Source organism: Homo sapiens, chromosome 14 (genome assembly GCF_000001405.40).
Source record: "Homo sapiens chromosome 14, GRCh38.p14 Primary Assembly".
Lineage (NCBI taxonomy): Eukaryota > Metazoa > Chordata > Mammalia > Primates > Hominidae > Homo > Homo sapiens.
Window position 1 is genome coordinate 45,769,494 of NC_000014.9, and position 22,373 is coordinate 45,791,866.

General features: G+C 35.7%; 1 long non-coding RNA gene across 1 annotated transcript in view, besides 1 other annotated feature; it reads left to right on the forward strand.

Moving 5' to 3' along the window:
- LOC105370478 (uncharacterized) overlaps nt 1–4,516 on the forward strand; it is a 30,377-nt gene extending 25,861 nt beyond the window's left edge. Inside the window, exons 3-4 of the long non-coding RNA XR_001750751.1 lie at nt 2,643–2,728; nt 2,917–4,516. This is a non-coding gene — a long non-coding RNA (uncharacterized LOC105370478). The remainder of the gene's footprint in view (nt 1–2,642; nt 2,729–2,916) is intronic.
- Nucleotides 15,440–16,108: an enhancer, noted in NCBI's record as "H3K27ac hESC enhancer chr14:46254136-46254804 (GRCh37/hg19 assembly coordinates)". NCBI's record gives its function as "activates a minimal SCP1, AML or CMV promoter by ChIP-STARR-seq in naive H9 embryonic stem cells {active_cell/tissue: H9 hESC(naive)}" and the evidence as "EXISTENCE:reporter gene assay evidence [ECO:0000049][PMID:30033119]".

Sequence of the window (22,373 nt, forward strand, 5' to 3'; positions counted from 1 at the left end):
TGGTATAATTCAAATTAAAAACAAAAGACAGCATAAAGGGAATTAAAATTAACAGACACTTGCAATAAAGTAATTGGAGTTACATTTATAAGAAAGTTTGATAGCTAAGTGAAAGGGGATGTGTATTTAAAGTGTATAGTTTTTTGAAAGAAGAAGGCATATAAATTCATTTGTTGAGATAGGCTCCCTAGGACCATAAGGTTTAGTTGATTAATGAGTTTGACTAGATATTATCTCTTCAGTTCCAAGAAGTTGTCCTCAAAGGAAGAGCTTACAGGGAAAATAACATCCTAATCCAGATATTCCCTACCATGTTTGAACCCATGGGAAACCAGTGTCAAATTGCCATTTTCAAGTAATCCAGAATTATAGCCTGCTGCTCCAAGTTTTGTGAGACCCGAGTTCATTCTATTTTGAAGGCTATCTTTTTTTTTTTTTTAAATTATACTTTAAGTTTTAGGGTACATGTACACAATGTGCAGGTCTGTTACATATGGATACATGTGCCGTGTTGGTGTGCTGCACCCATTAACTCATCATTTAGCATTAGGTATATCTCCTAATGCTATCCCTCCCCCGTCCCCCACCCCACAACAGGCTCCGGTGTGTGATGTTCCCCTTCCTATGTCCGTGTGTTCTCATTGTTCAATTCCCACCTATGAGTGAGAACATGCAGTGTTTCGTTTTTTGTCCTTGCGATAGTTTGCTGAGAATGATAGTTTCCACCTTCATCCATGTCCCTACAAAGGACATGAACTCATCCTTTTTTATGGCTGCATAGTATTCCATGGTGTATATGTGCCACATTTTCTTAATCTAGTCTATCATTGTTGGTCATTTGGGTTGGTTCCAAGTCTTTGCTATTGTGAATAGTGCTGCAATAAACATACGTGTCCATGTGTCTTTATAGCAGCATGATTTATAATCCTTTGGGTATATACCCAGTAATGGGATGGCTGGGTCAAATGGTATTTCTAGTTCTAGATCCCTGAGGAATCGCCACACTGACTTCCACAATGGTTGAACTAGTTTACAGTCCCACCAACAGTGTAAAAGTGTTCCTATTTCTCCACATCCTCTCCAGCACCTGTTGTTTCCTGACTTTTAATGATCGCCATTCTAACTGGTGTGAGATGGTACCTCATTGTGGTTTTGATTTGCATTTCTCTGATGGCCAGTGATGATGAGCATTTTTTCATGTGTCTGTTGGCTGCATAAATGTCTTCTTTTGAGAAGTGTCTGTTCATATCCTTTGCCCACTTTTTGATGGGGTTGTTTGTTTTTTTCTTGTAAATTTGTTTGAGTTCATTGTAGATTCTGGATATTAGCCCTTTGTCAGATGAGTAGATTGCAAAAATTTTCTCCCATTCTGTAGGTAGCCTGTTCACTCTGATGGTAGTTTCTTTTGCTGTGCAGAAGCTCTTTAGTTTAATTAGATCCCATTTGTCAATTTTGGCTTTTGTTTCCATTGCTTTTGGTATTTTAGACATGAAGTCCTTGCCCATGTCTATGTCCTGAATGGTATTGTCTAGGTTTTCTTCTAGGGTTTTTATGGTTTTGGGTCTAACATTTAAGTCTTTAATCCATGTTGAATTAATTTTTGTATAAGGTGTAAGGAAGGGATCCAGTTTCAGCTTTCTATATATAACCAGTTTCCCCAGCAGCATTTATTAAATAGGGAATCCTTTCCCTATTTCTTGTTTTTGTCAGATTTGTCAAAGATCAGATAGTTGTAGATATGCGGCATTATTTCTGAGGGCTCTGTTCTGTTCCATTGGTCTATATCTCTGTTTTGGTACCAGTACCGTGCTGTTTTGGTTACTGTAGCCTTGTAGTATAGTTTGAAGTCAGGTAGCGTGATGCCTCCAGCTTTGTTCTTTTGGCTTAGGGTTGACTTGGCAATGTGGGCTCTTTTTTGGTTCCATATGAACTTTAAAGTAGTTTTTTCCAATTCTGTGAAGAAAGTCATTGGTAGCTTGATGGGGATGGCATTGAATCTATAAATTACCTTGGGCAGTGTTTTGAGGACTATCTTTAAGGAAAAATCATTTAAAATTATGATTATAAAATTAAGTACGAATGTATGTATTTCTTTAGAATAAAAAAATCAAAACTGCAGGTTTATGAAAACTGACAAGTATCACCAACCTTTTTTTCAGTTTTATTTTTGTTTCCACAGGATATTTCCCTTTTTTTTTTTTTAGAGAAAAATGGATGGCTCTTAGACAAAACATTGAGTGTTAAGCAGAGAATGTAACCCAGGAATAAGGCTAATCACTATTGTTGAGGCTTGGGGGAAGAATACGGTACTCATTTCACGTAGGAAATCAGTTTCTGAAGAAATCAGTTATGAAATCAGCTACTGATTGGCTGGTGCTATCTGACCAAATTAGTTAAGCCCTGTGTAAGTGTTGAGCTGCCTGTTTTTGGATTTTCAAGGAAGTACTTTTGTTTGTTTGTTTTTGTTGTGTATGTGAAATACTCATTCCTAGACTACAATGCTATGTTGTGTTTATTGCCCAAGTAAGGTGCTTATTTCAGGATCATGGCATCTCCAGTAGTTTTAAATGTACAGCTGTCATCAGTCTGGGTGGTCATGTCAGGATTTACCATGCCTTCTTTTCATTATTCTGTTTATCCAGAGGAGAAGGACTGAGGTGTTCTATCTCTTTCCGGCACAAATCATCACTTCACATATCCCTTCTAGACAGCAGCTGTATGATAGCATGTAAGTACCTGCTAATGTCTCAAATCAAAGCAAAAATAATTCTTAGTGAAAACACAAAACTCTGTTATTATAGTTGGGAAAATTCCATGTAAACAAGGCTCCTATTTGACCCAGCCAAAACTAAGTGAATAAATACCCAAACTCAAATTGTCGTTTGAGAGCCAATCAGCTTTTCTTTTTTTTTTTAGGATACTTTTTTCTACTTGTTCTGAAGTGTGAACCGGAAAGAGCAGAAAGTGTTAGCCAGAGAAAAGACATCCCTCTGTGAGGCCAGTAAATTCTTTAAAGTTGTATGATCTCCATTACCATGATAACAAATTACTCAAGGCTCTTTGGCTAGGCCCATATGGCATTTACTATCTCCTCTGTAATTTCAGCCATAAAACTGTGAAATTGCTCTAACTTCTAGGCAGCTTTCAACATTTCTGTTATTCCTTCTACTACTTACAAAGACTTCCTACTTTTTGCTGCTTGTATCACAATTTAATTTTTTTTTTTTCAATTCTAAGCCTTACAGTTGAAGGGAAATTGCATAGCTTTTTAGCTGTAATTCAAGAGGTAAGTGTGTCCAGGGCTGATCTTACAAATTAATCCTGATTTGATGTTGTTTACAGATAGCTTTTTCTTAAAAATGACAAAGATATTTCCTGTGCAAGATATGTTAATATGTAATTATCATGGAATATGTAACCATCAAATCAGGTATTGCTCTGTTTTCCCAAGTAAGTAAACTAATACCTTTGAATTGATCCTACATTCTGGCACACACACACACACAAAAGTAAACATTTAACATATAGTAGATGTGTTTTAGTTCATGATTTTGCGGTGCTATGAAAGCAAAAGGAATTTGAGACATATTCAGGTAACCTGATTAAAAAATGATAAATTGATCAATTACATATTAAAAGCTATTAAGTCCCCAAGAAATATCAGCTATTAAAATATAAGCTAATACTTCAGAGGTCACCACAGAAGCTAAAAGCAATGCCTTTGCTAGTTTATTTGGTAAACAAGCAGCTCTTGCTATCCAACCCATGGAGGTGCTATTAAGTTTACATCTATCTTATTAAGCATTCAGAAAGATAATTGACTCAATTTAGGTAATTATAATTGTTTACAACTTAGCTATTCTATTTAAACTTTGCAACCAAAGCATAAGTAGTAGTATTATTTTCTCTCATTTTACAGATGAGAAATCCGAGGCTCAAATGTAACGAGTTTCTTCAGGGGAGCCAGGGTACAAACCCAGGTCCTTTTGACGTTTAAGTCAATATGCTTAACCACTACTACAGTATATTGCCAAAGGTTTTCTCTACTCTTTAGAGCAGCCATTCTTTTTCTGTTTAATATTTTTTTTACTGTCTCATGCAATTTCCCTTCAAAATTGCCTTGCCTTTTTTTTTTTAATCTTTCTGGAACAAATCTTTTCTGAAAATGTGTGATGTATTTCCCACTCCCTCCTCTCCTTGCCATTTTCCCCAATTTTAAAAAATTGAGCTAAATTGTATGTAACATAAAGTGTACCATCTTAACCATTTTAAAATATACAGTTAAGTGGCATTAAATACATTTCTAGTGTTGTGCAACCATCATTGCTATTCATCTCTGTAACTCTTTTCATCTTGTAAAACTGATATTCTATCTATTAAACAGCAACTTCCTTTTCTTCCCTCTCCCCAGCCCCTGGCAATCAGCATTCTACTTTCTGTCTTTATGATTTTGGCTGCTGTAACTTCCTTGTGTAAATGAAATCATACAATATTTGTCTTTTAATGACTGGTTTATTTCACTTAGCATAATGTCCTCAAGTTTTATTCATGTTGTAGCATATGTCAGAATTTTCTTTCTTAAGGAAATATTATCATTGTATGTATATACTATGAGTAATAATTCTGAATTATATTGAATACTAATAATTATAAATAATATTTTTGAATAATATTTACTTGTATGTATATACCACATTTTGCTTATTCATTTATATGTCAATGGACATCGGTTGCTTCCATATTTTTGTTATTGTGAATAATACCACTGTGAGCATGGCAGTACAAGTATCTCTTGAAGACCCTCCTTTGAAATTTTTTAGATATTTACCTAGAAGTGAAATTGCTGGATCAAATGTTAACTGTATTTTTAATTTTTTGAAGAACTCTTATACTGTTTTCTATAGTGCTATACTATTAATATTTTACATTCTTAGCAATAGTGCACAAGAGTTCCAATTTCTTCATATCTTTACCAACACTGGTTATTTTGTTGTTGTTTTCTTTTTTGGTAGTAGCTATCTTCATGGGTTGGAAGTGGTAGCTCATAGCTTTGATTTGCGTTTTCCTATTAGTGATATTGACCATCTTTCCATGTGCTTTTTGGACATTTGTGTATTTTCTTTAGAGAAATGTCTATTCCAAGTTTTTTGCCTGTTGTTTAATATGGTTGTTTTTTGTTGTTGAGATTTAGGAGTTCTCCATACATTCTAGAGAGTCATCATGTATCAACCATATAATTTGCAAATATTTTCTTTTATTCTGTGGGTGGCCTTTTTACTCTGTTTTGGTAGTGTGTTCTGATAGGCAAAATTTTTAATTTTCACGAAGTTCAGCTTGTCCATTTTTTCTTTAGTTGCCTGTACGTTTGGTGTCATATCCAAGATCCAAGAAATTATTGCTAAATCCAATGTCATGAATCTTTTACCCTTTGTTTTTTCCTACGAGTTTTACAGTTTTAGGTCTTACATGTAGGTCTTTGATCCATTTTGAGTTAATATCTGTATATGGTGTTAGGTAAGGGTCTGACTTCATTTTATTTTTTGTATGTGAATATTCAATTTTCCCAGCACCATTTGTTGAAAAGCTTGTCTTTTCCCCATTGAACGCTATCAGTACCCTTCTAAAAAATTTGACCATACGTGAAAGAGTTTATTTTTCTGCACTCTACTCTCTTAATTCATCTATATATCTGTCTTTGGCACCATCCTGTTTTTATTACAGTAGCTTTGTATTAAGTTTTGAAATCAGGAAGTGTGAGTCCTCCAGATATATTCTTCTTTAATGGTGTCTTTTGCAGACGTAGAAAAACTCGTTCTAAAATTCAAATGGAACCAAGATTGTTTTGTCTATTTGGGGTCCCATGAGATTTTATGTCAATTTTAGGATGGGTTTTCCTTTGAACAACATTGGAATTGTGGTAAAGATTACATTAAATCTATATTTTGCCATTTACTTTTGATTTTAGTAATTTGAGTCTTTTCTCTTTTTTCCTTAGTCCATCCAGGTAAAAGTTGGTCGATTTTGCTGGTCTTTCAAAGAACAAACTTATAGTTTCATTTATTTTCTCTATTGTTTTTCTATTCTCTATTTCATTTGTTCTCTGGTGTAATCTTGATTGTTTCCTTCTTTCTGCCAGCTTTAGTTTAGTTTGTTCTTCTTTTTCTAGTTTTTCAAGATGTAAAATTAGGTTGTTGGGCTGAGATCTTTCTTGCTTTTTAATGTGAAGATTTATAGCTGTACATTTCTCCTTATCATGATTTTCACTGTTTCCCATAAGTTGTTACAATGTGTTTTCTTTTTTATTCATCTCTATGTATTTCCAATTTCCTTTGTGGTTTCCTCTTTGTTTTCCTTCGTTGTTTAGGAATGTGTTATTTAATTTTCACAAATCTGTGAATTTTCCAGTTTTACTTCTGTTATTGATTACTAATTTTATCCTGTTGTTGTTAGAGAAGACGTTTTCTATATCTCTCTTTTTCAATCTATTGAAACTTAATTTGTGGCCTAACAGAGGTATTGTCTACCCTGAAAAATGTTCCATGTGCATTTGAGAATAATATGTATAGTGTTGTTGGGTTGAGTGTTCTGTGTGTGTTTGTTAGATTTGGTTGGTTTATTGTGTTATTTAAGCCCTCTATTTCCTTAATTATGTTTTATCTAGTTGTGCTATCCATTATTGAGAGTGCTATATTCAAATCTCCAACTATTATTGTGGAACTGTCTATTCTGCTTTCAATTCTATCAGTTTTTGCTTCATATGTTTGGATGGTCTGTTATTAGGTGCATACATGTATATAGTTGTTGTATGTTCTTTCTGTATTGAACCTTTTATTAATAGAATAAGATCCTTCTTTATCTCTTGCAATCTTTTTTGATTTAAAGTCTTTTTACTGTTAATATAGCCACCCCTGCTCTCTTTTGGTTACTATTTGTCATTTTTTCACTTTCAACCTATTTTGATTTTGGATCAAAAGTGAGTCTTTTGTAGATAGCATGTCATTGGACCATGTGCTTTTATTTATTCTTCCAATCTCTTTCTTTTGAGTCAACAGTTTAATCCATTTATATTTAAAGTGATTACTGAAAAAGAGGAACTTCTGTCATTTTGCTATTTTTTAAATAGGTATTATAGCTTATTTTTCTTCATTTTCTGCATTACGGTTTTATTTTGTGTTTAGCTGATTTTATAATAAGACATTATATTCCTTTCTCATTTCCTTTTGTATATACTCTACAGCTATTTTCTTTGAGATTACTATAGGAATTACATTTATTTAACTTTATACCAGCTTAACTTCAGTAATACACAAAAATCTGCTATTTTTAACAAGTCTCTCCTAAATCCTTTTAGTTGTAGATGTCACAAAATTGCATCCTTGTACATTAAATACTCCAAATATAGGCTACAAATTTTAAATTTAATTTTTATTTTTTGACAAAATGTAATTGTATATAATTGCAGAGTACACAGTGATATTATATACTCAACACAGGGTGTGGGATTATTGAAAAAAGCAAATTAACATATGTATCACCTTAATTTTTATTTTATTTTATTTTTTCTTTCCACACTACACTGATGTATGTATCACCTTAAATACTTATCATTTATTCCTCCTAATTGCAACTTTTTGTCCTTTGACAAATCCCATTCTCCCAACTTCTCCAGCTCTAGTAATCACCATTCTACTCCCTGCTTCTGTGAGTTTGTTTTAGATTCCACCTGCAAGTAAGACATGTTCATTTCTCTTTCTATGGCTTCTTTCATGTAACATAATGTCCTCCAGGTTGATACATGTTGAAAAAGACAGAATTTCTTTTTTTCTAAGGCGAAATAGCATTTTCTTCTGTAAATATATCACATTTTCCTTATATATTCACCCATTAATGAAATACTGATACAACTTTTACATGATGAAATGGGATCTAGTTTTTTGTTTGTTTGCTTTGCACACAAATATCCAATTTTTCTAGCACTATTTATTGAAGAGATTATTCTTTTCCCAATATATATTCTTGGTGCAATTGCTGAAAATGAGTTGACTGTAAATGGATGGATTTATTTCTGGGTTTTTTATATTCTCGTCCATTGGTCTTTTATGCTAATATCATGCTATTTCGGTTCCTATAGCCTGGTAATATTATTTGAAATCAGGTAATGTGAATGCTTCCAGCTTTGTTCTTTTGGCTTGGTATTGATTTGGCTAATAGTAGTCTTTCGTGTTTTCATATAAATTTTAAAATTGTTTTTTCTATTTCTGTGAAGAGTGTCTTTGGTATTTTAATAGAAATTGCATTGAATCTGTAGATTATGTTGGGTAGTATGGTCATTTTAACAATATGGATTCTTCCAATCCTTGAATATGGATATCTTTCTATTTATTTCTGTCCTCTTCAATTTTTTTTAAATCAATGTTTGATAGTTTTCTCTGGAGAAATATTTCACTTCTATGGTTAAATTTATTCCTAGGTATTTTTTTTCTTGTCTATTATACATGGGATTACTATCTTGGATTCTTTTTCAGATTGTTTGCTGTTGATATATGTAAATGCTCCTGATTTTTATTTGTTGCTTTCTGATCCTGCAACTTTCTTTACTGCGTTTCTTGAAACAAATGAAAATAGAAACACAACATACAAACACCTGCATAATAGAACAAAAGCAGTACTGAGAGGGAATTTTATAGCAATAAATGCCTACATCAAAAAAGTAGAAAGATTTCAAGTCAATAACCTAATGATACATCTTGAAAACTAGAAAAGTAAGGACAAACTGAACGTAAAATTAGTAGAAGAAAAGAAATAATGAAGATAACAGCAGAAATACATAAAATTGAGACTAAAAATAAAAAATAACACAATGAAAAGTTAGTTTTCTGAAAAGATAAACAAAATCAACAAAACTTTAGCCAGATTAAGAAAAAGGAGAGAAGACCCAAATAAATAAAATCAGAGGCAAAAAAGGAGATGTTACAATGATACCACAGAAATTAAATGAATTTATTAAATGCTACTATAAACAACTATATGTTGATCATTTGGAAAACCTAGAAATAGATAAATTCCTAGACAGATGAAATGTAAGATTGAATCATGAAGAAATAGAAAACTATGATAGATTAAGAATAAATTATGAAGTAGAAGCAGCATTGAAACTGGTTTTATGGCCTAGCATATGGTCCATCTGGAGGTTGTTCCATGTGCACTTGAGAGGAATATATATATTTTGCTGTTGGTAGGTGAGTGTCCTATACACATTTATTAGGTATTGTTGGTTTAACATTTTGTTCAAGTCTTCTATTTCCTTGTTGGTCTTCTGCCAATTGCTCTATCCATTACTGAGAAAGAGGTTTTGAATTCTCCAGCTGTTACTGTTAAATTGTATATTTCTTCCATCAATTGCATTAGTTATTGCTTCGTGTATTTGGGTGTTCTGTTATTAGGCTCAAATGTTTATAATTATTATGTCTTCCTGATGGCGTGACCTTATTGTCATTAAAAATTTCTTTATTAAGCATTTTTGTGTTAAAGTGTATTTTGCCTAATGTTAGTATAGTGACTCTATTTCTGTTGGTAGCTGTTTGCATAATATATTTTTTCAATATTTTTACCTTAATTCCTTTAGTGTCTTTGAATCTAAAGTGTTTATTTTATTTAAAAGCATGTAATTGGATCATATTCTTTCATTCTCTTTTACTTATCTCATTCATGATTGACAGGTATTTCTGCCTATCTCTGTCATTTGCCTGGAGGTCATTTAAGTTTAATGTTACTACTGATGAAATCACATTTGCATCTGCTGTTTTGTTTTGTGTTTTCTTTTAAAAAAAATTTATTTTAGGTTCAAGGGTATGTGTGCATATTTGTTATGTATATATAAATTGCATATCATGGGGGTTTGATGCACAGGTTATTTCATCACCCAGATAATAAACACAGAACCTGATAGGTAATTTTTAAATCCTCATCCTCCTCCCATTTTTCACCCTCAAGTAGGCCCCAGTGTATGTTGTTTTATTCTTTGGGTTCATGTGTTCTCAACGATTAGCTCTCACTTATAAGTGACAACAGGTAGTATTTGGTTTTCTGTTCCTGTGATAGTTCGCATAGGACCTCCAGTTCCATCCATGTTGTTGAAAAAGACATGACCTCACTATTTCTTATGGCTGCATGGTATTTCATGTGTATATGTGCTACATTTTCTTTATCCAGTCTACCATTGATGGCCATTTAGGTTGATTCCATATCTTTGCTAATGTGCTTCAGGGAACATATGTGTACATGTGTATTTATGGTAAAACTATATTCCTTTGGGTATATACCAAATACTGGAATTGCTGGGTCGAATGGTAATTCTGTTTTAAGTTCTTTGATATATCATTACACTGGTTTCCACAATGACTGAACTAATTTACAGTTCCACCCTTCCTGAATTTGAATGTTAGCTGCTCTAGTGAGGTTGAGGACATTTTTCCCAGATGATATCCTCACATATCTTTTCTACGTTGCTAGATTTCTGCCCCTCTCTCAGAGATGTCAATGAGTCATGGATTTGGTCTTTTTACATAATTCCATATTTCTTAGATGTTTTGATTATTATTATTATTTTTTGAGACGGAATTTTGCTCTGTCACCAGGCTCGCTCTTTCTTTCTTTCTCTTTCTTTCTTTTTTTTCTTTCTTTTTCTTTCTTTCCCTTCCTTCCTTCCTTCCTTCCTTCCTTCCTTCCTTCCTTCCTTCCTTCCTTCCTTCTTTCTTTCTTTCTTTCTTTCTTTCTTCTCTCTTTCTTTCTCTCTTTCTCCCTCTCTCTCACTTTCTCTCTCTCTCTTTTTCTTTTTTTTTTTTTTGACGGAGTCTCGCTCTGTCACCAGGCTGGAGTGCAGTGGCGCAATCTCGGCTCACCACAACCTCTGCTTCCTGGGTTCAAGCGATTTTCCTGCCTCAGCCTCCTGAGGAGCTGGGACTACAGGCATGCACCACCACACCCAGCTCATTTTTGTATTTTTAGTAGAGAGAGGGTTTCACCATGTTGGCCAGGATGGTCTCCATCTCCTGACCTTGTGATCCACCTGCCTCGGCCCCTGAAAGTCCTGGGATTACAGGCATGAGCCACCGCTCCCAGCTGGTTGTTCAATTTCTGTGTAGTTGTGTGGTTTGAATGAATTTCTTAATGTTGAGTTCTAATTTGATTGCACTGTGGTCTGAGAAACTGTTATGATTTCAGTTATTTTGCATTTGCTGAGGAGTGTTTTACTTTCAATTATGTGATCTATTTTAGAGTAAGTGCCATGTGGCAATGAGAAGAATGTATATTCTGTTGTTTGGGGTGGAGAGTTCTGTAGATATGTATCAGGTCCATTTGATTCAGTGCTGAGTTCAGTTCCTGAATATCTTTATTAATTTTCTGCCTCAATGATCTGTCTAATATTGTCACTGGGGTGTTAAATTTTCCTGCTATTATTGTGTGGGAGTCTAAGTCTCTTTGAAGGTCTCTAAAAATTTGCTTTATGAATCTGGGTGCTACTGTGTTGGATACACATATATTTAGGATCCTTAGATCTTCTTGTTGAATTGAACCCTCTACCATTATGTAATGGTCTTTTTTGTCTTTTATGATCTTTGTTGGTTTAAAGTCTGTTTTGTCAGAAGCTAGGATTGCAACCCTTTCTTTTTTTCTGTTTTCCATTTGCTCGGTAGATTGTCCTCCATTTTTTTTAAATTTTTTATTTTGAGCCTATGTGTGTCACTGCATGTGAGATGAGTCTCTTGAAGACAGTGTACCAATGGGTCTTGGTACTTGATCCAACTTGCCACTCTCTGTCTTTTAATTGGGACACTTAGCTCATTTACATTTAAAGCTAGTATTGATATGTGTGGTTTTGATCCTGTCATTGTGATTCTAGCTGGTGATTTTGCTTGTTTTTATGGTTGCTTCATAGTGTCGTTGGTCTGTGTACTTCAGTGTTTTTTTGTAGTGGCTGGTAATGGTCTTTCCTTTCCATATTTAGTGCCTCCTTTAGGAGCTTTTGTAAGGCAGTTCTGGTGGTAACAAGTTACCTCAGCATTTGCTTGTCTGAAAAGGATCTTATTTCTCCTTCGCTTATTGGGCTTAGTTTGGCCAGATATAAAATTCTGGTTTGGAATTCCTTTTTTTTTTTTTTTTTAGTAGGTTGAATATTGGCCCTCAATCTCTTCTGGTTTGTACAGTTTCAGCTGAGAGGTCTGCTGTTAATCTGATGGCTTTCTTTTGTAGGTGACCTGGCCTTTCTCTCTAGATGCCTTTAACATTTTTTCTTTCATTTTGATCTTTGAGAATCTGATGATTATGCATCTTTGGGATGATCTTCTCTTGGAGTATTTTACTGGGGTTCTCTGCATTTTCTGAATTTGAATGTGGGCCTCTCTAGAGAGGTTGAGAAAGTTATCATGGATGACATTTTGAAACGTTTTCCAAATTGGTTAAAGTTTTTGAGACTTGTTCTGTGGCCTAACATGTGGTCTATTCTGAAAAATGTTCTATATTTGATGAAAAGAATGTATATTCTGCACCAATTGAGTTAAATGTTCTGTAAATGTCAGTTAGGGTTATTTGGTCTAGTGTGTAGCCAAACTCAGATGTTTCTTTTCCTATTTCAGTTTGGATGATCTGTTCATTACTGAGAGTGAGGTGTTGAAGTCCCATACTATTATTATATTGCAGTCAGTTTCTCTCTTCAGACCTATTAATGTTTGCTTAATAAACTTAGTTGTTTTATGTTGGCTGCGTATATATTTATAATTGCCATATACTCTTGCTGTATTGAACTTGCTATCAGCATACTGTGATCTTCCTTGCCTATTTAACAGTATTCTAGTTTTGTAGTCTATTTTACCTCCTATGTTCTTGTTTTCTGGTGGTTTTTTTTTTTTTTTTTTTTTTTTTTTCCGGAGGTTTGCTCTTGTTGCCCAGGCTGGAGTGCAATGGCATGATCTTGATCTTGGCTCACTGCAATCTCCGTCTCCTGGGTTCAAGTGATTCTTCTGCCTCAGCCTCCTGAGTAGTTGGGATTACAGGCATGTGCCAACATACCTGGCTAATTTTGTATTTTTGGTAGAGACTGGGTTTCTCCATGTTGGTCAGGCTGGTCTCAAACTCTTGACCTCAGGTGATCTGCCCTTCTTGGCTTCTGAAAGTGCTGGGATTACAGGCGTGAGCCACTGTACCCAGCCTCTGGTTGTATTTTTGGCTCCTCTCTTCCTTTCTTTTTTCTTATTGTCTTCTTTTGTAGTTAAGTGATTTTCTCTTGTAGTATGTTTTAATTCATTGCTTTTTATTTCTAGTGTTATCTATTATACCTGTTATAGCATTTTGCTTTGTGATTACCATAATGTTTATGGAAAATATCTTATAGCTATAACAGGTTATTTAAAGTAATGATAACTTATCTTTGATCACAAAAGAATAGAATAAAACAAAGGAAAAACTAAAAAAACTTTATATTTTAACTTCATCATCCCACATTTTGACTTTTTGTTTTTTTAATTTACATCTTTTTATATTGCCTATCTCTTAATAGTGTGCAGCTATTATTGCTTTCAGTAGATTTGTCTTTTATTCTTCATGCTAGAAATATGAATGAATTACACACCACAATAGAGTATTAGAATATTCTCAGTTTGTCTGTGAACTCAGTTTTACCAGTGGGTTTTATACTTTCAAAATTTTTTTTTCATGTTAGTGTTTTTTCTTTTAGATTGAAGGACTCCCTTTAGCATTTTTTGTAAGACAGGTCTAGTGGTGATAAATTGTCTCAGCTTTTGTTTGCTTATTTATTTCTCATGTGTCAAGGTAGCTTTTGTACAGCATACTCAGCAGTTGTTTTTTTTTTTTCTGTCAACACTTTGAATATGTCTTCTCACTCTCTCCTGGCCTGAAGGGTTTCCATTGAGAAGTTTGTTGCCAGACTAATTAGAGTTCTTTATATGATTATTTGCCTATTTTTATCTTGCTGCTTTTAGGACCCTCTCTTCGTTCTTGACTTTGATTGTTTAGTTATTATATGCCTTTGGATCACCTTATTTGGGTTGTATCTGTTTGATGATCTCTGACCTTCCTGCACCTGGATATTTATATTTTTATCAAGTTTTGGAAAGTTTTCTGTTATTATTTCTTTGAATATTTTTTCTACTCCTTGCTCTTTTTCAACTCCCTTTTTAACACTGATAGTTCTTAGATTCACTCTTTTGAGGTAATGTTCTTATAAGATTCTTATATTGTGTAGGCATTCTTCATTCTTTTTTCTCCTATCACTGTGTATTTTCAAATAGTCTGTGTTTGAGCTCAATCATTCTTTTCTCTGCTAATCCATTCTGCTATTGAGAACCTCTAGTGCATTTTTTTTTTTTTTTACTTCAGAAAATGTATTTATCAGTTCCAGGATTTCTATTTTCTTTTGTAAAAATTTTGATCTTTTGTTAAATTTATCAGATAAAGTTTTGAATGCTTGACTGTGTTTCTTGGGGCTTTCTGAGTTTCCTTAAAACATCTATTTTGAGCTCTTAATCAGAGAGCTCACACATTGCCATCTCTTTAGGGTCAGTCACTGGCTTCTTGCTTCGTGTGTATGGGGAAGTCATGGTTCTGTTGGTGTTGTTTCTCGTAGATGCATGGATGTGTGTTTGCGTTGGAGGATTAGTTATTTATTCCAATTTTCTCTGTCTTGTTTGGTTTCCTTGGATATGTTTACTTAGAAATTCTTTGGAACATAGCTGTTGAATTATTTCATGCTAGATCACTGCCTCTTTTTGGGCACAAGATAGCACATTAAACCAAGGTTTGCCTTGGCATTAGCAAATGTTCAGAGCACTGCTTGTCCCAGATGGGAGAGATCCCAAAGTGATCCCAGGCTATGTGGGAAGGCTGGCTAGGGGCTTGTGCCCAGGGGATTCATGGAATGTACTTCCTACAGCATAGGGCTGCTAAACAGCCACTCTGATATGGCATCTCCTTTGTCTGAGAAAGAGAGCAGAATTTTAAGGGCTGTGGATGATATTCTCACTACTCTCATTTGTCTCTGGCTACCTTTGGGGGATTTTCTCTCTTCAGGCACATGTGATGCTTCTCCTAGGTTGAGGCAGAAACAATTATCCATCACCTTGGAGTTTCTTCACTTCTCTGTAGCCCTAGGAACTGGCTCATCCTCAGATTTGAGTTGAGGGTTATTGCCAGTGATAATCTTGGTGTGTAGATATTTGTTTTGTTTTTTGGGGGGTTGGTGTGAAGCCAGCTTGTGTTTAGTCTGCAATTTTGGTGATGCCACTCTCATCTATTTTTTAATTTTTACTTTAATTGTCTCTAATTTTTGTTGACTATGTATATGCATTTTTGTTTTCTTTTTATCTGGTTGCTTTTAGGTGAATTCTAGGAGATGAAGGGAGAAGTTCTATATTTACTCTGCCTTTTAAAATTAGATGGGCTCCATGCCTGATATGAATGAACTGCCTCTGTTTGAAATCTCTGATGAATGGGAAGGCCAAGTGGTCATATTTTGCCACGTATTTCTCCTGATCATAACTGGTTAGATCTGGAAAGAACCACTTTCCCAAGGGAAACGAATCAACTAGAACTTGCAGAGCCAATCAGATTTCCTTTCATCTACCCCAGAATTTAACTACGAATTTGTAATAAGTTTGTCACAGGCACTTGGGATAAAAGTCATAGAGAAATTCAATTGGGTTGGCCATATTGAGTTCTAACTCAGATAAGTAACTGAAAGAAAGAGAATATTAGGACTAGAGCAAAGTGGAAGAGCAGTGACAAAAAGAAGCAGAGATAATCTCTACTCCCTTTTTGTTTCAACTGAGAGAAGAGAAAGGAAAAAACCGGTCAGGCAGGCAGTTAGGGTGGGTCCTTGCTTGAATTCTTTCAAACAAAAGAACAGCCTGAAAACTCAAGCTGCAGGTACAGATAAGGGACTTGCACAGGGGAGCTTGCCTAGGACATGCCTACAGCTGTACAGATAAGAAAGGCTACACAGGTGACTTGCCAAGACATGCCCACAATGGAAAATTCCATCCCCTAACACAGGTGCAGTAAGGAGAAGAAAGCAATATGAAGTAACTCAAGCTAAGGGTCAGCATGTGCACTAGGAGGATGGGATGGAGCTAGCAGAAATTTATAGCTTATGCAAATGAAATGCTCAGCCCCCATCATTATCTTATAAAACCTTACATAAAAATGGTAATTCTCTTCCAGGCCCTTTATATGCAGTGGAGAGCCTTCTTCTTTCACTTAGTAAACTTTCACTCCAACCCCACCCTTGTTTCCACACTCCTTAATTCTCTAGGTCATGAGACAAAGAACTCTGGGTGATACCTCACAATGAGACTGCTACATTGTGGTGCATTGGTAAGACTGTAACATTTTGGTGTATTGTCTGAGAAAGGAAACATTAGAAGGGTGAGTAGGAGTGGGTCTCCAACTCTTAACTTTCATTTCCAAGGCTTCTCACCCTCAGATTTTTAAATTAAACAAAATAGTGGGTCCCTATCAGCCAATTAAAGATGAATAGCATGGCTGCCAGCCTTACAAGACTCAGGGGACAGGCTTGCTGGAGAGGACTTTGTCAATTCCCCATCGCTGTCATGTGGTGGGAATGTTGACTCTGTTTCATTCCCGTTTCCTTTCATGAAGGACCTAGCCATCATGTGAGGTTGGAAGGAGGTCCTAGGGCAACTGAGGGCATCTGGCTAAGGCTATACCTTGGTGTTGCCTGCAGTTCCCTGAACTAACTCCAGCCCCTGACAGCCCCTCAGGGTGTTGCCATGAGGACTTTCAGACCTTTTAATTGCATTTACTTCCTTCTTTTCATGGCTACTATGTCTCCTATCCCTTATTTATATGCAATGTTGTAGGTATTTTCACAGCCTGGGGAGATACTCCTGTTAAGAAAAGTCAGCAAGTGCCTTAGTCACTAGGAATGTAATTCAAAGAATTGTTGCTTCTGCGATTTTCTAGAGATGGGGTAACTTCAGGATTTCAGCTTTAACTTTCATCTAACAAGGGCCTTTTTGTTTCTCAATAATAGACATTCATGGCACTGTATAGGGGAATATTTCACCCAAAGAAAATACCCTTCTTTCACTTTTTTTTTTATAGTCTATGTAAGAGCTCAGCATTGTTCAGTGAATCTTAGCAATCCCTCTATGAGACAAATTAATTTTCCTCTGCTGGGCAGCATATTATGGGGACAACCTATTAAGGCTCAAATCTCTCTTTCTAACCTTTGCCTGGAAAAAGAATTTGAAGTCAGAGTTTTTACCTAACATTTCAAACCCTACAGTGCCACCTACTAGGATGGGAGTTTTCTCTGTGGGGATCCTTTTTGGCCCTTTGCACAAAACCTCTAGTTCCCTGATTCCTTTCTCTTTTATGTCCCTCTCTGTGATGAGGCTCCATGCCCTGTTTGTAGACAGGAAAATTCCCCTTTCAACAGCTGGGAGGAAGCTACCCTAGCAAGACAGAATTTGTTTCAGTGCTATCCCCATCAGAGGAAAGACAGCCATTCAATTCTTACATTCATTTGAGGCACCTGTTCATTATCCAGCTACTTTGACATCTAAGCAAGAAAGGGATCTTATGTTTAGAAGTCAATTGGTTCCATTCTCTAGGAACTTATAACTTTGCCAACGCAGTAGTAAGAGGATGTAAGGATAGAGTTAAGACACTCCCTCCATCAAAGGGTCTTTCCCAAATTCAACTACTGCACAATCTCTCCTGGGGCCCTAAGAATCTCAAGAGCCTTATGGGCCAAGTGGGTCCAGGAAGCCAGCAGGGCGGAGAGCTAGGGCCTCAAGCAGGTGAACATGACTATTTATGCTGACTAGCTTCTCCAGATCTATTGGTGAAGGTCATGCTTGAATCCATGGGTAGCACCTACGTCAGTTGCCAGGACCCAAAGGAGATTGGAGAAAAGAGGAGAAGGGGGACACCCTTTCTATCTTTTTCTACACCCTGGGTCACCCTGAAAGGAGGAAGGAGGCTAAGTGATGCCTTCTCCTCCTCTCTTTTCTAGATAAGTAACAACCTGTCTTCAAGCCTGCCCATGGCTTGATGCAAGAAAACTTGCTTCAAGTTTTCTTTAGGCAAGCTTCAACTTCACTCACACATAGAGGCCTTCCAGGATTTACCCCAAGTATTTAAACTCTCTTGGAATGATGTTATATTACTCTTTTATTATTATTATTATTATTATTATACTTTATGTTCTAGGGTACATGTGCACAACATGCAAGTTTGTTACATATGTATACATGTGCCATGTTGGTGTGCTGCACCCATTAACTCATCATTTACATTAGGTATATCTCCTAATGCTATCCCTCCTCCCTCCCCCAACCCCACGACAGGCCCCAGTGTGTGATGTTCCCCACGCTGTGTCCAAGTGTTCTCATTGTTCAATTCCCACCAATGAGTGAGAACATGCAGTGTTTGGTTTTCTGTCCTTGCAATAGTTTGCTCAGAATGATGGTTTCTGGCTTCATCCATGTCCCTAAAAAGGACATGAACTCATCCTTTTTTATGGCTGCATAGTATTCCATGGTGTATATGTGCCACATTTTCTTAATTCAGTCTATCATTGATGGACATTTGGGTTGGTTCCAAGTCTTTGCTATTGTGAATAGTGCTGCAATAAACATATGTGTGCATGTGTCTTCATAGAAGCATGATTTATAATCCTTTGGGTGTATGCCCAGTAATGGGATGGCTGGGTCAAATGGTATTTCTAGTTCTAGATCCTCGAGGACTCACCACATTGTCTTCCACAATGGTTGAACTAGTTTACAGTCCCACCAACAGTGTAAAAGCATTCCTATTTCTCCATATCCTCTTAAAATTCTAACTGCTGCTGAGAAAGAGGCAGCCCTACAGATAGCAGAGAAATCTGGAGATGAACAGCATGTCTCCCATAGCCAGTCAAAAAAGAAAGAGTCAAAAAGGGGAAAGAGGGTGAGAAAGAGACAGAATCCCCATTCCCAGTAGGAAGAGAGGCAGTGTCCCTTGAAAACCTTAATTGGAAGCCTAGTAATCCCATAGATGAGTGGAAAAGAAAACACTTTCAGATGTGTATATCAGAGGGCTTACAAAGGACCAGAGCCAAACCTGTTAACTACTCTAAGCTATCAATGATAGATAAAAAGCTAGATGAAAATCTCTCAGTCTTTTTAGAAAGCCTGAGAGGGCTTTGGTAAAACACACTTATCTCCTAATTCAATTGAGGGACAGCTAATCTTGAAAGACAAGCTTACTCAGGTGGCCCCTGACATCAGAAGCAAGCTTCAGAATCAGGCTATAGGACCAGATGGCACGTTAGAAAACCTCCTAAGGGTAGCCACTTCAGTCTTTTATAATAGGAACCAGGAGGAGGCCCTGGAAAGGGAGAGGAAACACATAAAAAAGGCAGAAAGAGGGATACCTTGGAATGGAATGCAGGTCTGGAACTCCATGTAAGCCCTCACTTCAAGATAGCCTGGTAAAGTTGTCAGTAACAACCTTTGCTGCAGGCCTCCGTCTTGTTTTACATACTTGAGTGTGACCTGTAACCATGTCACAGTACTTTTTTTAGCCTTTGCCATTTTACAATGGCGCACGGGTTCAATCCTGGCTTGGGGAATGAATACTTTCAAATTAATAGCTATGTGACTTTTACCATTTGCTAATTCTCTTCCCCCTCCATGAACAACTGCTAACTTCCTTTCTTAAATCTTTCTCTCTCTAAGTTGCCTTTAAAACTTCTGGTTTTTTTTTTTTTTTTTTTTTTTTGAGATGGAGTCTCATTCTGTTGCCCAGGCTGGAGTGTAGTGGTGCGATCTTGGCTCACTGCAAGCTCTGCCTCCCAGGTTCACACCATTCTCCTGCCTCAGCTTCCTGAGTAGCTGGGACTACAGGCACCCACCACCATGCCTGGCTAATTTTTTTTTTGCATTTTTAGTAGAGAACGGGATTTCACAATGTTAGCCAAGACCTCATGATCTGCCGGCTTCAGCCTCCCAAGGTGCTGGAATTACAGGCGTGAGCCACCACACCCAGCCAAAACTTCTGGGTTTTGTAAAAGCTGCTTATCACCCCTTTGAAAATACGTTGTACACTCGAGGTTTAGTCATAACCTAATGGAGTCTTGTTGGTTTCACCTGTGAGATTACTTTTGATAAAGTTCAAAAGTCAGAAATATTAACTTTTTGGTGTGCCTAAAGTTGGGTAACAATGAATTTAAAAGGATTTTCTTAAAGAGCACTCAGCTTAATTAAAAGTGGATATCCAAGTTATAGGTATATTTAAAAGACCTTTATGTTTTTCTCTTCTTGGATCTTGTTTTTCTGGAAAAGGTTTCTTTCTCAGTTGACTGAATTACTTTTCTCCACTCTGTCTTGCCACTCTTGGTGCATGCATGGAAGGCCCTAAGATAATTTCTGATGGCCTGGGGCTTTTTGGTAAAAACGGAAGATGCACCATGGATTCCATTTTGGGAGAAACCTCTGTTTTCCTTGTGGAACCCTAGGAATTAGAGGCAGATAGATAAAAATCTGTTTTTGTCTTCCAGCTATACCTATTTATTAGGCCCTAGAAACTGCATGCTTTTTAAGCCCTGCTCTTAATGGACCCTTCCCAGAGGCCAATAATCCAATTAGGAGATTGACATATGAAAAATCTTATAACTACTTGATCTTCTTCTGTTTGTCTATGTAGTTATATATGTGTTGTGTGTGATATCTGTAAAAAGAGCTCTAATTAATTGGCTTAAAGAAAAATAAATGCTTAAATCAAATATTTTTATAGGAAAGATAAAAGCAGTAATGTCTTTTAGTTCACATGACTTTAATATTTAAGAAATAAAAATAGTTTTAAAGATAATTGGTAAAATGCAAATTTTGTCAAAATGTAAATAGGGGGTCTAAATCATGTATGTCAGATACTAGGCTTGCTAAATGTTTCAAGGTTGTAAACTGCCTGCTTTACAACTTGGCAAGCCATGGGACATGTGAAATTAACCATGCCCCTAACTATGCTGGATAGATTCAGGACTTATCTGCACCTAGTATATAATTAAAACAACATACCAGGTTTTACATTAAAGTTAAAAAATGCTAGAAGTTACCATTATAACATGTAATTGAGACTACTGAAATTCGATTTACATGCAAGGTGTGTAAAAACAGTAAAATATGTTTTTAGTAAAAGATTATAAGTAAACATGAAAATGTAAATTTTGCCTAGGGTTAAAAGATTGTCTTAAATTAGATAAAATACAGCTGAAAGTTCAAGCAAGTTGTGGAGAGACTGTAAAAATTAATCTTGCAAAGGAAACTGTGTGTGTGGACATATTGACCAAATTCAAAAGGGTGTTATAAGATTTTTGTAAATTGAGCACTGAAATAAAAGAACAGTAAGGTTTTCTTAAGATGCAATTCTGCTCTTTATCAAAATTTGTAAAGGTTTATGAAAGGTTTGTAAGAATATCACCTCAGTCAAACTGATTAAGATTAGATAGAATTCTCTATAAGGTTTCATTAAAAATTGGGGTTGACACTAATAGTAAACTAATGCAAGGGTGAAGTTTGCCTTTCTCCCTCTTGAAAAGGATTTTCATGTAATAGTAAAGGCTAATAAAAGGATTTTGCCTTTTTAAATTTTTGAGTCATCATTTTGGGAAAATAAATAACTTATAGTAATCTGTAATTATATTTCATAATATCAAGTTTTTATACGTCTAAATTTAACAGTCTCCCCAAAATTAAATTTCAGTTTCAAAATTGTCTCTCCTGATGCCTAGCTTTTGGTTGTGACAGAGGGCCTCTGGAGCATCCAGAAAAGAGGTAAACAGGATTATTTAACATGTTTAGATACAAGGGATTGCCACAGTGATGTGTAATCTTCTTCAGTTTTTATTTCGGTAAATAATATTAATATATGTTCCAAAATCATATGGGATATCTAATGTTCTAATGTCTGAACATATGCTGTCAATGATAATTAGGTTTATTATGTTAAGCTATTGTAACTACAGAAATAACCAAATGTCTTCACCAATCATATTCTTGCCTGTAACAACCCTGGAAATTTTGTCATTTACAGACAACTGTTGTCTTGTTTTAATTCTCTTCAAAAGATGGTTTATGATCAACTGTAGGACTTTAACAAGTGCTCTCAAATGCAGTTTTCTGATAAAAGAAAAATGTACACAACTCACGAAAAGCTGAAGTGGTTATGAATATCAAGCAGAATAAGAGTTAAAGAAATAGACTGAGCTGATAGGAAACTGAAGTAATTGTTCTAAATTTTTTGCTTAAAACATTGCTTATCCTTGTTTTGTTTTTCAGAGTCAAGGAAACTTTTCC